At 47.7% G+C, this 16,632-nt stretch overlaps 2 protein-coding genes and 1 long non-coding RNA gene across 16 annotated transcripts in view, besides 4 other annotated features; 1 reads left to right on the top strand and 2 right to left on the bottom strand.

The window, feature by feature from the left end:
• Window positions 1–1,726, bottom strand: part of MOCOS (molybdenum cofactor sulfurase) — an 84,661-nt gene extending 82,935 nt beyond the window's left edge. Inside the window, exon 1 of the mRNA NM_017947.4 lies at window positions 1,542–1,726. Coding sequence (NP_060417.4) covers window positions 1,542–1,683 — 142 coding nt within the window. The 5' untranslated portion in view covers window positions 1,684–1,726. The remainder of the gene's footprint in view (window positions 1–1,541) is intronic.
• Window positions 1,624–1,813: a silencer, noted in NCBI's record as "silent region_9402". NCBI's record gives its function as "represses an Ori minimal core promoter by ATAC-STARR-seq in GM12878 lymphoblastoid cells {active_cell/tissue: GM12878}" and the evidence as "EXISTENCE:reporter gene assay evidence [ECO:0000049][PMID:35858748]".
• Window positions 1,624–1,922: a biological region, named in NCBI's record as "ReSE screen-validated silencer GRCh37_chr18:33767264-33767527".
• Window positions 1,659–1,922: a silencer, noted in NCBI's record as "fragment chr18:33767264-33767527 (GRCh37/hg19 assembly coordinates)". NCBI's record gives its function as "represses an EF-1alpha promoter that drives an FKBP-Casp9 reporter gene in an ReSE screen in K562 erythroleukemia cells {active_cell/tissue: K562}" and the evidence as "EXISTENCE:reporter gene assay evidence [ECO:0000049][PMID:32094911]".
• COSMOC (cell fate and sterol metabolism associated divergent transcript of MOCOS) lies at window positions 1,788–9,222 on the top strand. The gene is made up of 2 exons (NR_134605.1): window positions 1,788–1,988; window positions 8,833–9,222. It is a non-coding gene; the product is annotated as a cell fate and sterol metabolism associated divergent transcript of MOCOS (long non-coding RNA).
• Window positions 2,682–3,504: an enhancer, noted in NCBI's record as "H3K27ac-H3K4me1 hESC enhancer chr18:33765682-33766504 (GRCh37/hg19 assembly coordinates)". NCBI's record gives its function as "activates a minimal SCP1, AML or CMV promoter by ChIP-STARR-seq in primed H9 embryonic stem cells {active_cell/tissue: H9 hESC(primed)}" and the evidence as "EXISTENCE:reporter gene assay evidence [ECO:0000049][PMID:30033119]".
• The window catches only part of ELP2 (elongator acetyltransferase complex subunit 2), a 50,659-nt gene continuing 42,692 nt past the window's right edge, over window positions 8,666–16,632 (bottom strand). For all 14 annotated transcript variants that reach the window (NR_137173.2, NR_040110.3, NR_136898.2 and 11 more), the window contains one exon: window positions 8,666–14,738. Coding sequence is in view for 10 of the 14 variants with exons in the window: in NM_001242875.3 (NP_001229804.1) it covers window positions 14,582–14,738 (157 nt within the window). In the remaining 4 variants the exon portion in view is untranslated. The remainder of the gene's footprint in view (window positions 14,739–16,632) is intronic.

The following is a 16,632-nucleotide window of genomic DNA, read 5'->3' as shown; positions in this document are numbered from 1 at the left end:
GAAAAGTACTGTTCTCTGAGGGACAAGAGTGAAACCAGGAGGGGACCAGAACATAGCTCTACTTTCCCAGGGTAGCATTGAGGGGAGAGGTTGGCCAATAGTGGGCGTGAGAGATCACAGCTGGAGGAGATTTAGGGGATTAAGGAGGTGCGGTGCTGATATAATTACTCAGGTAGCCTTGAAGAGTTGCTTCAAAGAATGGAGAGCCTCCCTCCCCAGCACCTGTAGGCATTCATAGTACCCCTCTATTTCTGAGTGGTAGGAAATTTCCATAATTAATAGTTGAGAGAGAGAGAGAGAGAGAGAATACGAAAGAAGGGTGAGGAGCTGTCTCCAGCAGGTGACCCTGCGAGAGGGAAGGATGAGGAGTGAATAGAGAGGTTGGCAGAAGGCACCCCCGTCTCCCTCCTGACTCTCCCTACTTAGGAAGCCAGAGGAGACACACAGGAGGAGGCCACAGTTCTCACAGCCCCCAAAGGGAAAACACAGTTACCCTCCACAACACCAGGAAGTGACCCGAAGCGCTGAAATCAGCTACCCGAGTAGTGAAACCTAAGTCATGGTTGCTGTTCTGCCCCCAGAAGGGGAGCAGTCACCAGTTGTTCATCGCGACAGAGCAGATACACTCAAACCCCGGTGCCCTGTGCCAAGACGTGCCCACTTCACCTGCACACCCTCCTTGACCATCCGGCACGCGGCCCTGGGGCTTGATGAAGCCCTGCACCCAAAGTCCCTGGCAGAGGGATGAGTCACGAACTTGGGCCCTGGCAGCAGAGGGCTGGGTCGGCCAAGGCCAGATGGAGCTTGATTTGCAATTTCATCAGCCTGTTCCGCTCTGAGGAAAGGCACGATGTGATCTTGGTGTTGTCTAATTCACAGGCTCGCCCTGTTCTTAAAGGTGAAATTGCACTGTTTGCTAATTCTTCTAGTCCCCCAGAGAACTGGAGCTCAGAGGGATTGTTCTGACGCTGTAAGAGTAAGGAAAATGAGGTTTCGAAAATCAAAGCTGAATACAGGCTATCCCAGAGGAGTCTGCAGAGCGCAGCCTCGGGAGGCCCCGGCCAAGAGGCCTTGGCCTCCCGGTCCCAACCTGGCGCGCCGTCAGAGGTGCTGTCCCAGCCCGGGCGCTGGCGGTCCACGCACCGCTCCTACCTCGGGAGGACATCCGAAGGGTCACGGCCGCTGGACATGCTGTCTTTTGCAACCCCGGCCCCAGCAGGCCCTTTACAGTGAGGGGTCTCCCGCAAGAGAGGGCAAGAACCATCCTAAGCCCCGCTCGCGGAGGGCGGGAAAAGGGGAAGACGGCTAGGTTGGTCCTGCCCACCGGAAAGTCGGAAGAGTAAGAGTAGCAAGAAGCCTTGGGGCTGCAGGTGGGACCTCAGGGAGCCGTGTCTACTAGGAGGACGCGTGGACACGTCCCTCCTGGAGTTTCGATTCAAAATGCGCCCGAATGAGGTAGCGCCGCTCTCACTAGGAGCAAAAGATCCGTCCACGTCGGTTCCAGAAACCTCGTGTCCCCCAAGCCTGCCCGCCCGCCTCACCTGCCAGGCGGCTGAACTCGCGCGCCCGCAGCTCGCGCAGGCTGCCCGGGCCGTAGCCGTAGGCTAGCCGCGGTGCGCTCGGGTCCCGGGAACCCGCGAAGGTCCACAGCTCCCGCCCTGACTCCGCCGCCGCGCCGGCCATGGCCCCGGCTAGTCCATCCAGGCCGGCCGGGCCCGGGAAGTGCGCGAAGCCGGCCCCCGGCGACTCCGCCCCCGCCACGCCTCCCAGGCCTCCAGCCTCCCAGTCTCTCGGAATCCGCAGCCTAGGTGTGGCGCCCCGACCGGACTTTCACTTCTGGCCAGCCCTTTCCCCACCTGGGCGCGGGAGCGGGTGCCAGTCTTTAAACAACCTCTCGATGGGTCCCACGAAGATGTTTCCAGACCCTTGGAATGCCAAGTTCAAGTTTAGCTATGTCTCGCGGAGAGGCCGGTGGAAGAAGCAACGAGGTGATCTTTCCTGCTTGGCATCGGCATCCTGGAACCCCGCGACCCTCCTCCTCGCAGGGGTCTCGGGACCCTCACCCTCTCAAGCGGGAACCGGCGTCTGGCGGGGGCGGGGGTGGGGGCGTTCTCGGGTTGCTGCTACCCAGCGGGGCGTGTGCTTGCCGTTTGTTAGAATGCGGCTGACCAAAGGGTAGAAAAGGGGAAAGATTAGGGATCCACGAGGCTAATAAATTCTCAGTGGCTGCACACTTTCGGAACCGGGAAGCTCGGGGGCTTCCCCCGGAGCGGGCCCTGCAGCTGGGATCCAAGTGAGCTGAGCTTCCCCGCCCTCCCAACCGCGTCCTGGGCCCTACTTCCTGCCCTTGCCTCCCCAACCCTGCATCCCGCCCCGCACTTCCCGCACGTGGGTGTGGCCGGGCCCTCTCTATTAAAGCAAGAGTGCCCTAGGACAAAGCCGCCCCTGTCCCGGACAGAGTGGAATAAGAGCGCCTCCTTCAATCCCCACTCGCGCCTGCACCCAGAGCACCTGGGACACAGCGGCTCTGTCTTGGAGAACAGGTGCCTCAATAGGGAGGGCCTGGCCAAACCTATGCGCGGGAAGTGCGGAGCGGGATGCAGGGGTGGGGCGGCAGGTGCAGGTAGTAGAGCCCAGGCATGCGGTTGGGGGGTGGGGGGAAATCTCACGTGCGATCCCAGGTGCGGAACCCGCTGCTGGGAATGGGGTGGAAGCAAAACAGGTACTGCACGCACAGGCGAGGTGCCTCGTGGGGGAATCGAATGTCAGGGATGGTGGACAGTGCGGATGGGCGGCAGGTGCTGGGGCTCAGGGGAGATAACTCAGAGGCAGGCTCGGTGGAGAACCCAAGGCCGGCGACCAGGTGCAGGCGGCCCACAGGCCCTGGAGGCATACAGCGGGGGGACAAGGTGGGAAGGAGGCCTATGCCCCAAGAGCTCAACCTGTGCTGCATCCAGGCCAGCTGCCACCCAGGGTATGGGCCGCAGATGCCCTAGGATCCTTGCTGATGCATGATGCATACCGGTGCCCAGCGTGAGAGCCATGGGAAGGCAGCACGCAGCCCTGGCTCTCCCGCCCAGGCCCCTGATACCAGGCCAGAGAAAGACCCGCCACTAAGAGCTCATTTCCCCCTGGCCGGAGACCCAGGGGTCTGTGGACTGCAGCGCTAGGGTCCATGCCCAGGTACCCATATTCCTCAGTGGCCTCTGCCCACTGACCACCCCCGCTCTCTCCCTCACTGCTGAATGTCCAGGACCTTACTCGACAAACACCCATAGTTGTTCGAGGAGGAGTTAATGTACTGATGGATGGATGCAGGCATTTGCTCATTGACATCACTGCCCACCCCACCATCTGCTTGCCTTCTGGCCATGCTTCAAGCAGGCACTTTGGATACTGGACTGTCTTCTGTGAATGTGGCTTTGGGCAGCACTAATAACAAGAGCTAGTTACAGGGCCTCACTGTGTGCCAGGCACTGCACTGTGTACACTCTTACCTGTCCTGGTCGTTCAATGATTAAATATGCAGATCTAGGAGGTGGCTCTTACAGATGGGGAAGCTGAGGCAGAGAGAGGCAGAATAACTTGCACACGGGCACACAGCTAGAAGACAAGCTAGCACCTGGGAAGTCAGTCTCCAGAGCCCAGGCAGGGAAGTGTGTTTTGCTAACTCTCTGGTGTGAGCCACCGTGGTTCCCAGGGCCTCAGTTTCCCCATCTAAGTTGAGAGGGGTGAGTTGGTCCTCCCAGCAGCTGTTCAGTGTGTCACTCCTCACCCATCCTTTTAAAGCCCTGCTTCCTGGTGAGAGTCTCCCCTAGGCCAGGGTTTCCAGGCATTCATTTGCATGAATCCCCTAGAGAGCCTATTCAAAGGCAGGTTCTGACTCTTTGAGGTTCTGTGTTTCTAAGTAGCCCAGGTGATGCTGATGCCCCATTCACGAATGGCACTCTGAGGAGGGAGGGCCTAGGTCATTTCCCTGGAAATGTAAGGAGAACCTCTCCTCAAGGAGTTCTACAGCCAACTAACAAACCACCAGTCCACAGGGGTGCTGCTTCAGACAAGCTCGCCTAGTGATGGATTGGAATAGGCCAAGTCAGTGCAGAACTCCTGAAGGTTATTAAAAATCACGGATCTACCATTAATCCAGAAATACTTTAAAGCAGTTGGCTATGCCCATCTAGGGCACTGTGTGCTTGGGAGGGTGGATGTGAAGATAGCACCTACAGCTGAGTAGGAAAATGAACCTACACTAGCCACAAGGCAATGTGGGCTGAGTGCCCAGGCAGCACTGGTTCAGGATGCAGGTATAGAATTGAAAGAGAGGAAGCGGCTACTTCCTAGCAAGATATCCAGGGAAGGTAGCCCAAAGGAGGAAGCCTTTGAAGTGGGCCATAGCAGTGAGCCAGTCAAGATGGGAGGAGGAGTAGGGAATGTGAGAAACACTGGGAGTCTTGGCCTCTAATTGGCACCCTTAGGTGCATTTCACCAAGATTCCCTGGGCCGCTCCTACCAGAAAGAGACTATCAGAAGTCAGATTGCTCGCTCTCACCCTGCCTTAAGCAGAACCTCTATCCCCACCAAGGAATGTCTGACCTGGGAGGAGGAGTGATCTCCTGGGCCCTGTGCTATAGGCTGCCATGGCCACTTCTCACCTGGTCCAGCTGCTGGCCTTGGAGCTTCCAAGCAACCTGAGCTGGTCCATGCTGAGTTCCCCAGAGGCCAGCTTCTGCACCTAAAGTTTACAGCTAGGTAGGAAAACAGCTCTTCCAACTCCCACTTGCAACCCTTTCTCACCTAAGAACTTGAAAAATTATGTGTCTATGAGCCAGTTGGGCAGACAGGTGAGATGCCCTCAATTTTGTACTTTAAATCTCTCCCCGTGTGAATCTTAGTCCCTGGTGCACCTCACTGAGCCTGATTCCTTACCTCCTGATGATGCTTCCCGAAATCCCCTTGCTCCCAGGTTAACAACTCCCACCCCCAGTGTCTCCTAGCAATGGGCTCCACTTGCAAGAATCTCTACTATATACAAAGCATTCATTCATGTATTCATTCATTCATTCATTCATTCACTCACTCAGCAGAAGATGAATGAGTGCTTGTCAGAGTTAGGCTTGGAGTTGGTGGTAGACAAACAAAGGAAAGGCAGGCTTTGGAACTAGAAAGTGCCCTATGAGTGATTTAGGTAGAACTATCCAATGGCCATGACCAGACTGGATGAGCCTGTGAGAATTGGGAGCAGGAAAACCAGCTATAACCTCTTGCAACTGTCCAGGCTTGAAACACTAGAAGATTCACTTGAAAATTACTAGTGCTTTTGGCAGGGGCATTTATTCAGTGTTCACTGGGCAGCTGTGCCCTGCTGCAAACATGGTAGGCACTGAGAAGACAACAGTCAGCAAGGCAGTCTCTGTGCCTGAGAGGCTCCTGGGATGAGGAAGGAGATAGGTTCATAGTCAGGTCACCCCTCCAGGCTGCAGAGCGCTAGAGAAAAGTCCTTCCCACAAAGGTCCAGGCTTGGGGTAAAGAGCCTCCCAGACCTGGGGCTGCTGGGAGACCTGCCCAGAGGGTCCTGGAGGAGGAGGTGGGGGAAGGAAGGCAGCATTCCATACTCAAAGGTCTAGAGCTGCAAAAAGGCTCAGAGAATTCCAGATGCAGGACTTTTAATGAAGCTGGAGCACAGACTGCAGCTCTGTGGGGATAAGTGTGATGGGGAGTGAGAGAAGTAAGAGGGGTCAGACTTTCTGGTACAGAGGAGAAAGCTGGCCTTGGTCTAAAAGGGACATGAACACCCTAGAGTCTCCTCCTGAGAGTGGCTGGATCGGGGTGTGCTTAGACCCCAGGCAGCAGTGGGGGAGGTGGGAGTGGGGAGGTTGCAGGCAGCCCTGCTGTCAGAGGCTGGGCAAAAGTCCTGGCGAAGAGCAGTGAGGGCCTGGTCTGAGGCCCAGATCGTGCAGAAGTGATGAAATTCAGGGATGAATGGGACGAAGGACTGGCCCAAGGTGACTTGGTGCTGTCAGATTGGGAGACTGAGTGGACAGAGGGAGTCTCAGGCATAGGGAGACAATATGGAACTCGGTCAGGACATCTCGGTGGAGATTCAGGGCTCAAAAGGGACAGAGTGTCTGGGGTTGGAGACTTGAGTCATGTGAGGGGCTTGTGGACAGGTCATCTCAGGAGCTCTGAAGTGTTTAGGGAAAGAGGCCAGAACCCTGGGGACAGTGGCACTTAAAGGGTCTCTGTCTCATGCCACAGGTGGGAAAGTTCAGTTAGAGAAGTGGGGACAGAGCCAGAAGAGAGCACCTTGGCAATATCTAAGGCCATAAGGCCTATTAGGACAAGGGTTAAACAATTAGGACAGATTGTTAAACTTGTTGGGTAGGTGGTATGCAGTGGCCTAAGCAGGAACAGCTCTATTATCCAGGTGGGGATGGCAGCTCCACTATAGTGGTCAAGTCCTAAATGGTGAGTAAGGGTAGAGGTTTTCCCACTGGTGAGCCCCCTGAAAACCTTGGCCTCCTAGTCTGGAAGATATTAGGTTGCTGCAAAAGTAATTGCGGCTTTTGCATCAAAATGGCAAAAACTGCAATTACTTTTGCACCAACCTACAGTTGGGGGCTGCAATTACGAGGAATCAAATTTCCCAACAAATATCAGGATAGGGATAGGTATGTCCAAGAAGGCTGAATTTGGTTTGGATAATGAAATTAACTTAAGTGTTTCCTACTAGAGTGAAATGCACACTTTTCCAAAAATGAGAGCTCACAGACCTGGATATCCTGGTACCTAGGAAGTCAGAAGAGGGCTGGCAAAGGAAGCAGTGAGACAGACATAGCATTGGAGCAAGTTTATCTCCAAAGACTGGCAGAGTGCCCTGGTAGAAACTGAGAGCAGTGGAAAGAAAGATCAGAAACCCCAGGAAGCTCCCTCCCCTAGAGTGACACAAGACCTTTCCTGTGAATAGAAATGAAAAGGGCAGTTCAACATCATGAAATGATTGGGAACAAGGCTCCATTATATCTAATGTTTGAAACAACCAAACCCACCAATACTAGGTAGACCACAGGACTGAGAGGGCAAAGGGCCCAGAGCAGCAATCTTCCTGGCGCTGTCTTCCTGGGGGCTCGGCTTCTCCCATGTTCATTCATGAGCAGGTCCACTGGGCCAGGCCAGCCCCTTCTTGGTCCCTTCTGTGCTAGCACCTCCCTCCTACTCTTTGCCCCCTACCCCTTTAACCACCAAGACAGGAATCTCAGATATTCTATTTACCGACTGGCAGATTACATTTGAGAATACTTCCTCCACCAGCCATCAGCATTATCAAACTCATTCATCCCTGAATTCAGCAAATATGTGGCAATACATATTTGCTGAATTCAGGGATGCTGTGGACAACAGGAAAACCATCTGATGCGCAGGTGTTTAGGCTTTAGCAGGTTCGTATAGGGGGCTTGCATTGGTTGCCCATCCTGTATCCATTGGCCCCTCTGATTTTGCTTTGGAGAACCACCCCACGTTAGAGCAGCTATGTGATCTCACTGGGACCTACTCTGCCTCTAGGCCAGCACAGGTGATCTCACAGCTTGTTACATCAGATGGGCAGGCCCAAGCCACTTAACATGCGGCTTTCCCCTGCCCACTGTGATTAGCTGAGGAATGGTCCAGTCAGAGTAAAGTTAGAGACTTAATGCTAAGAGTTATTTCCTTTGATACTAACAAGGAAAAAAGTAATGTAGGGGCTGTTTGCATTCCTCTTACGGCAATGAGGGAGAACGGCCTCAGGGGAAAGCTGCCATGTGGCCAGGCATGGTGGCCCACCCCTATAATCCCAGCACTTCGGGAGGCCAAGACAGGAGGATGGCTTGAGCCCAGGAGTTTGAGACCAGCTTGGGCAACATAGTAAGGCCCTGTCTCTATTAAAAATAATAACGGGCCAGGCCCAGTGGCTCATGCCTGTAATCCCAGCACTTCGGGAGGCCAAGACAGGAGGATGGCTTGAGCCCAGGAGTTTGAGACCAGCTTGGGCAACATAGTAAGGCCCTGCCTCTATTAAAAATAATAACGGGCCAGGCCCAGTGGCTCATGCCTGTAATCCCAGCACTTTGGGAAGCTGAGGTGGGTGGATCACCTGAGGTCAGGAGTTCAGGACTAGCCTGGCCAACATGGTGAAACCCCGTCTCTACTAAAAATACAAAAATTAGCCAGGAGTGTTGGCATGTGCCTGTAATCCCAGCTATTCAGGGGGCTGAGGCAGGAGAATCACTTGAACCCAGGAGTTGGAGGTTGCAGTGAGCCGAGATCACGCCACTGCACTCCAGCCTGGGCAACAAGAGTGAAACTCAGTCTCAAATAATAACAAAAGAAGAAGGCTGCCATGGAAAGGGCAGAGCTAAGCAAACTAGAGAAAGGAAGGCAGAGCCCATATCAAACTGCACCTGAAGCCTATCCCACCACTGAATTTTTCTCAGTCATATGAGCCAGTAATTCCTTTGTGTTTGAGATGAACTTCCTTACAATAGAAGGCATCTACCTGACACAGCATAAAACATACACAAAAATAGAAGATATAAGGTGACAAGTGCCATAAAACAAAACTGGAATAAAATACTCCGGAATTCAGAGGAAAAACAAAAAAGAATACTTGAGGGGTTTACCAAAGGCTCTATGGAGTTGACACGAGCAGAGCTTTATTTAATCATAATAGTACCAGATACAAATTACTGCTGTCTTATTTATATCCCAGGGACCAAACTAGTGTTTTTCATATATTGGCTCATTTAATTCTCAGAACAATCCTACACACTGGTTACTGTTGTTCTCCCTTTCTTCCAGAATGAAGCACCCCAGTTCTCTGCTGAGCACATGGGCATCTGCAATAAAGATTTAATTTCCCAGCTTCTCCTGAAGCTCGGTATGGCCACAACACTAAATTCTGCCCGAGGAGATTAAGCAAAATAGTATGGGACTTCCAAGAAATGTTTTTAAAGTCAGGGGCAGGCCTTTCTTCATGCCTTCTTCCTCTTTGCTGGCTGGAACGCAAAGACCATGGCAGGAGGCCAAGCAGCCATCCTGGAAGGTGAAAGCCTCATACTAAGGACGTCAGACAGCGAAATAAGAGCCTGGGTCCTTGACCCTGTAGACATCTCCCTCCCCATCCTGGTCTGTCTGCCTTGACTCCTTTCATATGAGAGAAATAAACTTTTAACTTGCGTAAACCAGAAAGAAAATTTTACAATTTTTTTTCACACACAGTTGAATGGAAGCCAGACTCATACACTAATCTCATCTCCACTTTTAGAGATGAGGGGAACAGCTTGCCCACAGTGACAGCCAGTGTGAGCTGGGTTTCTGTTGCCCAACTCATTGGGGTTCCAACCCTCACCTAGACTGCCCTATGAAATACCTAGAACTTGGTCAGGAGAAAAGATAAGAGGGGAAAATGTCAGCAAAAGCCAAAGACTAAGGGTAGCAGGGGCAGAAGTGAGAGTGGGAAGTGAAAGGTGATATAATTTCCCTATTCCACTGAGCAGGAAGAGGCTGCCTTTGCATCCCTCTGTGTCGGGAGACAGTCTGGGGACAGTCAGCAGGCACCTTGCTGCAGGAGAGCCCCTGCAAGAGCAGCCTTTGTGGAGCTGTCCCTTCCACCCCAGTAGGAGCTTCTCGGACACAGCATGGCCTCTCTCCTTCACTCTGGTGTCTTCACTCAGTACTGGGTCCCAGATTTTTTTTTTTTTTTTTTTTTTTTTTGAGATGGAGTCTCACTCTGTTGCCCAGGCTGGAGTGCAGTGGCTCGATCTCGGCCCACTGCAACCTCCTCCTCCTCCTGGGTTCAAGCGGTTCTCCTGCCTCAGCCTCTGGAACATCTGGGATTACAGGCGCCCACCACCATGCCCGACTAATTTTTTTTTTTTTTTTGTATTTTTAGTAGAGATGGGGTTTCACCATGTTGGCCAGGCTGGTCTCGAACTCCTGACCTCAAGTGATCCACCCGCCTCAGCCTCCCAAATTGCTGGGATTACAGGCATGAGCCACCACGCCCGGCCCGGGTCCCAGATCTCTGAGTCCACCAGAGTGGGGCTCAGAGTCCTCTATCCACCAACCACATGCAGCCATCCAACACGCTGTCTCTCTTCTGGCCTCAGCCTCATTGTCCTTGGAGTGCCAGTCTCTTGTTTAAGCATGGCAGAGCCTTAATACTGGACCATCCACTACATGCTAGAAGGGGAAGAACTCCTCACAATGTAACAATTTTTGTATTTAACTTATGGATATGCTCATTCTTTCTAAACAATTCTTATAAGGAAATTTTAAGTATATTAAAAAATTAGAATAGTATGACCACCCCAACACTGCCCAGCTTCATTAATAATCCACACATCTAAAACCCATCTAGTCCTTGACACACACACAATCATTATGAAACAACCCAAGACATAAATTGATTTCATCCATAAATACTGAAATTATGATTCAAGAGAACTTTTTTTTTTTTTTTCTTAAACCAAGGCTGAGGTGGGAGAACTGCTTGAGCCCAGGAGTTCAAGACCAGCTTAGGTAACACTGCAAAACCCAGTCTCTAGAGAAAAAAAAAACAAAACCAATCATAACCATAGCCCCACTGTCATATGTTTAAATGTTGTTTCCTTAATATCATCAAATATCCAGCCAGAGTTCAAATTTGCTTTGTCCCTTAAGCACATTTTTACAAGATTGATTGGCTAGTTCAGATCAAGAGGCAAACAAGGTTCATACATTGCACTGGATTCACACGTCTCAAGTATCTTTCAATCTCCAGGCTTCCCTTCCCTTCCCTTTTCCTCTTGTAATGTATTTGTTGAAGAATCTAGGTCCCTCTGTAGTCACTCCTCTCCCCATTCCCAGCCCCTGGTAACCACTTACCTGTTTTCTGACCCTATAATTTTGTAGGGCCCACTTTGTACTGATGTACTTCTGACTAGGTGTGTTTATGTTCAAGCATCAGAGCCAAGGCCCAAACCTCTACCCTGGCCCTCCTTCTGCTGTGGCCCAACTGTACCCAGAGCTGGGCTCTCCCGTCTCCCTGCCTGTTAATCCTAGAAGTGGGTGCCGAGGAGGGAGAAACAGGAAGGAGGGAGTTGGGGAGGGCAGCTTGTTACATGGACATCAGGGCTGTTCCCACTAGCAGCAACAGCTTTGTGTTAGCTTGGCTCCAATTTGAATGAAATATTCCAAGGCCATTTTCCCCAACACGTTGTTACCAAAAAAACTCCCAGCATGCAGAAAAGTTGAAAGAATTGTACAGTGAACACCCCTTAAGGAGTTTCTACCATTAACATTTTATTTAAAGGCTTTGGGACTCTGAAGTATAATGTTTGTGAAATGCTATGAGCCAGACCCTCCACACTGAAAATTCCCAGTGTAAATTAATTTGTTAAATGCTCTTAGAATTCCTGCAATAAAGAACACCTATCTAACCTTAGTTATCCCTGTGTTTCCCAAATATATCTTACTTTGGAGCACTTTTTTTTTAGTACCGATTTACATCCTGGGAAATGGTGTTTACCATGCTTTAAAAAAAACTGTGGTAAAATAAAGATAAGATTTACCATCTTAACCATTTTAGAGTGTACAGTTGAGTTGGCATACAGCATTCACATAACTTAACTGTGCAACCAATCCACAGGACTTTTTATCTTGCAAAACTGAAACACTATACCCATTAAACAACTCCTCATTTCCTCCTCCCCCAGTCCTTGGCAACTACCATTCTACTTGTTTCTATGCATTTGACTGCTCTAGATACTTCACATAAATGGAAGCATAGAGTATTTGTCTTCCAGTGACTGGCTTACTTCACTTAGCATCATGTCCTCAAGATTCATCCATGTTGCAGCACATGTCAGCGTATCTTCCTTTTAGAGGCTGAATAATATTCCACTGTATGAATATACCACATTTTGTTGATCATTCACCCACTGATGGGCACATATTGCTTCCATCTCTTAGCTACTGTGAATAATGGTGCCGTGAGTATGGGCATACAAAAACTACCACTAATATTTTACAGTGCTTGCTTCATATCTGTCCATGTGTCCGTCACTCCACCCATCATATTTTTTATGTATTTCATAAGTTACAGACCACAGTAACTTCCCTCAAACATGTCAGTATACATATCAATGACCAGCGTTCATTGTTTTTTTCCAAGTCATTTTGAACTGCCGTAGCAATGAGTAATATAGCCTCAAACGCACACATACACACACAACACGTGCGTCACTACAGAAAACTTTTCCTGGCAGACAGGAAAGGGCCCATTGTTGGTGATGTCATTTTAATTAAGATAAAACCACCACCACCATTTAGTAATAGCCTGGGGTAACAAGGGCTGCGTCACGGACTGCCACTTTTGCCATCCTGCTCAGAGCAGGGCCATGCCTAACCCGTATCTGGGGATTGCTTCAGATATTATGAATCGCTTCAATATTATGAATTACTACAATTCATAATAATTGCTTCAGATATTATGAATTACAATATGGTTCAAAGGTGCTTTAGCAGATGAAGACACAAATGTGTAAACACATATGAATTACAATGCAGACTGCCCAGATGTGTAGCAAGTCCTCTGAATGTTTACTAAACAGTAAGGTGATTCCAGAGGAAGATGCTTGAGGACAATTTGGGAAAACTGACAACTTGAAAACTCAGTCTCTCTAGGCAAGGCCTACTTGCAGATAACCTTGGGAGTTCTGTGCTGGGAGGAAAGCTAAAGGACTAAGTTAGGCCTCTGAATCTGCTCTGGAAGCCTGCATGCACTTGGGTCAGAACAAGCCCATGTGTCAATGTGGGTAAAGATTCCTCAGCTGATAAGCAGGAAAATGGGCAGGGCATTTTGGTCTTTGAGGTTCAAAGCTCAGATGCTCACTGCCTTGGTATACACGCACACACACCCCACCCCCCAGCTGACGGCACAAGAGTATACAGATGCAATAGTCTAAAGTACATTGTCCAAATATGGATGGCCATGAGCCACATGTGGCTATGAAGCACTTAAATGTGGCTAGTCTGAACTGAGATGGGCCCTATAAAATATTTCAGTAACAGGTTTTTATACTGATTATAGGTTGACATAATAATATTTTGGATATACCGTATTAAAGGAAATATGTCATTAAATTTCACCTGTTTCCTTTATTATGTGGCTACTTGAAAATTTTAAAATTACATATGTAGCTCACACTATAAAACACAGATTAGAAATATTGTATAGCACTGACCTAGAAACCTCCATTTAGGTAAAACATCTTAACCCCTTTGGAAGCAAAATATGTTAAATAACAGCATAAACTCCCACCAAGAAAATCCTCACCTTCCTCCTTTCAACACATTTATTATATACAGCTGTCACTGCATTGTCAATCTGCCAAATGGCTCTATGTTCCAACAGGGCTGGAGTAGTCCCCTGCTCACACCAGCCTTCACAATACTTCCCATGTCTTCCCTGTTAACCTCTCTCCACCCAGCACCCAGGCTCCCAACTCTCCTGGCTGCCTCCAGCCCTCAGCTGGCACCACTGACATGCTGTTTCCAGTACCCTTTTCTTCTTTCTGCATCCTCCCTGGGGGACATATATCCCTCATCTCGTGACTTCAGCTGTCACATAAATTCAAATGTTTCAGAACTCTATTTTTTACCTCCTACATCTGTCAGTTTAAATGTCAGGATATTTTACTTTCAGTAAAGCCCTAAAAAGACAAATCTATGTACTTTTAAAGAATAAAAGAAATGACTGGCTGCAGCTCAAACCTACAACTGCTTGCGAAACTCTACAATGTCTGGCAGATGCTAGAAAGAAGGGGATCAAGACAGAGCACACTTGGCGTGGTATGCTATCTATAGAAAATGTTAAAATAAAATTAAGTAATCTAGGTTTCCTCTCTTTATTTTCTACATCTACTCTCTGAAGAGGGCAATAAATAAGGAAATGTCCCAAAGAGGGACAAATTAAGTCCCAAAATAACACAAAATTGGGCAAATCCAGTCATGAAGAAAGAACAGAGGTTCTTAAATTGGGACACACAGAGGCAGGTCTGCAGGTCTAGGAATCTCTGAACATATGTGCAAAATTCTGGGTATGTGTGCATATGTTATATAACAAAGCGAAGGGTCCATATAGCTTTCATCGCATTTCAAAGGGTCTAGCACTGAAATAAGGACTACTGCTATGTGACTTAAAAAATGAAACTCAGGCTGGGCGCAGTGGCTCACGCCTGTAATCCCAGCACTTTGGGAGGCCGAGGCAAGCAGATCACCTGAGACGAGGAGTTTGAGACCCGCCTGGCCAACGGTGAAACCCAGTCTCTACTAAAAATACAAAAATTAGCCGGAATTGGTGGTGTGCCTCTAGTCCCAGCTACTCAGGAGGCTGAAGAAAGAGAATCGCTTGAACCTGGGAGGTGGAGGTTGTGACAAAGCAAGACTCCATCTCAAAAAAAAAAAAAACCCAGAAACTCAATTCAGTTATGAAGGTAAAGATGACCTGTTTACATGATAATATTTTAAGATACCAGTGACTGCAAGCATGTAGTTATTAAGTCCATTACAGTGCACATTTATTGACTCTGTGTATCTTCACAGTGTGATCTTCACCACAGCTTGCAAAGTGTAACCACTCAGCACCTTCTGCTTCCTTCTGTTCAGTTTTTCCACTGCAATTCTTCCAGCATAATTTTCTGATAGCCAGTGTATGACTTTGGCTAAAACAAAGATAGAGAAATCATGAAATGTTTTTCCAATTAATGGTGTAAACATGAATGGAAGTTAAAACCTGAAAATTGAAATGTACAGGTTTTAAAATCGCATCATTAACATTTTAGCCATTTTATTTTAACCTGGAAAATATTTTACTATATTTACTTAAAACTGCAAGACTAAATTTTAATCTTACTCACTGGCAATAACATCACCAAAATGAGCAAGACACAGACAATGAATCTCTGTCAAATGTTGTTTAAAAAAAAACAAAAAATAAAATTTTTTTAAATGAATGTTGTTTTAATGATCAATGGAATTTCATGAAATGGATATTCAAGTTAGTCTTTTAGATAACATTACTAAATTTATAACAATTTTAACTTTACAATATATTCTAGATTATTTTACTATTTTGACATCCCTGTGAGGTGGATGGAATTGCATTTTTACTACTGGGTAAAGAAAGACAATGACAGATTTAATGTACTGCACAATGAAAGAGTCTTGGTCTCCAGTGTGACCTCTAACTGCGTGACCTTGGGCAAGACCATCGTATTAATGCTCCCTACCCCCTACCTCCCCAGCCCTTTAAAAAGGCAGACCCAGAGTGTTACCAACGTATGTTAGGAATAAATCTCTATGAAAATACAACATCTTCTATAAATTTAACCTGCAAATTAGCTTCCCAAACCAAAAAGGAATAAAGTGAAAAACCTAAGTAGGTTTTAGGGCAATAAACACTGAAAACAATACCAGAGCACACACATTACACTTTCATTTGCTGACAGTCCCTGTCACCAGATGCATTCTCATGATTAAAAGGGAAGAATGAAGTCACGAAACCCATTTTAAAAATCAGTCCTCCTGAACCTATGCAACAAGATGACTGCGTGCCCTTACAAATAGTCACTCTGACTGCTGTGCCTCAACTGTTTTCTGAAATTATTCTAGAGAAAATGCTTCCATATTATGCAGACTATGATTTGAGTACTCTCAGTGATAGCTCATGTTCCTTTGAGGATGAATCTGACTGTTGAAAGCACCTGGAAGTAAGCTTTATAATAAATATAAATGGCAAGCTTAATAGATATAAATGGCAAGCTTTAAAAAGAGGAAATGATTGAAACAGGTAATATTATAAAAGGCATTATAATTTGTTTTCTTGCATCATTAGTAAGCTAGTTCTGAACACAATTCCTACAGAGAAGTTCCAAGAACATTTTAAGTGATAGCAACATCACTGGAATCTCAATTATTATGGATTAGAGTTATCTCATTTCATTAAAAGAAGGATTTGAAGTAGTGAAATCACGGAAATAAACATATGTGGTATAACTCTTTCCAAGGGAGCTACTTTGAGGAACATACTTGTTTGGCTATGTAAGCTTTGAGATAGTGGGTTTCTTTTTTTGGTAATGTCCTTTAAATCCAGAATATTAACATGTCATATTTAAGAAGATAGGGAGTTTGGCAAACCAACCTAAAGGGTAGTGTTTGCTTATATTACCTCTGTAAATCTTATTACTAGCAAAAGCTTTCATTTGAAAGGTACTTGGAACTTGGTAACTGAAATATTAGCAATCCAAATAATATATGTTAAGTCACGCATTAGTTCCATCTTGCAAATCCTAAGTCACCATAATGACCAAAGAAAAAAACAACCCCTTCAGACAAAAAACTCAAATTCTATACGTGTTCCCTTCCTGCACTTTCTAAGGGGCTTCCCACCAGTGTCCCACATGGTGGCCATTGAAGAGGTCTTCACACCAGGTTAGAGGTGAAGGGAGCACTGTGGGCAGGCAAAGTGGAAGGAAAGGGTGCCCAGGAAGAGAGAAAATTTCAAATGCCTGAAGCATGGAATTTCAACAGACTTCTTCCCTCTTCAGCAAGCCAACA

The sequence above is a fragment of the Homo sapiens genome, chromosome 18 (genome assembly GCF_000001405.40).
Source record: "Homo sapiens chromosome 18, GRCh38.p14 Primary Assembly".
Taxonomy (NCBI): domain Eukaryota; kingdom Metazoa; phylum Chordata; class Mammalia; order Primates; family Hominidae; genus Homo; species Homo sapiens.
Note: the sequence above shows the minus strand (reverse complement) of the source record. Positions and strands in the feature narration are given on the sequence as shown.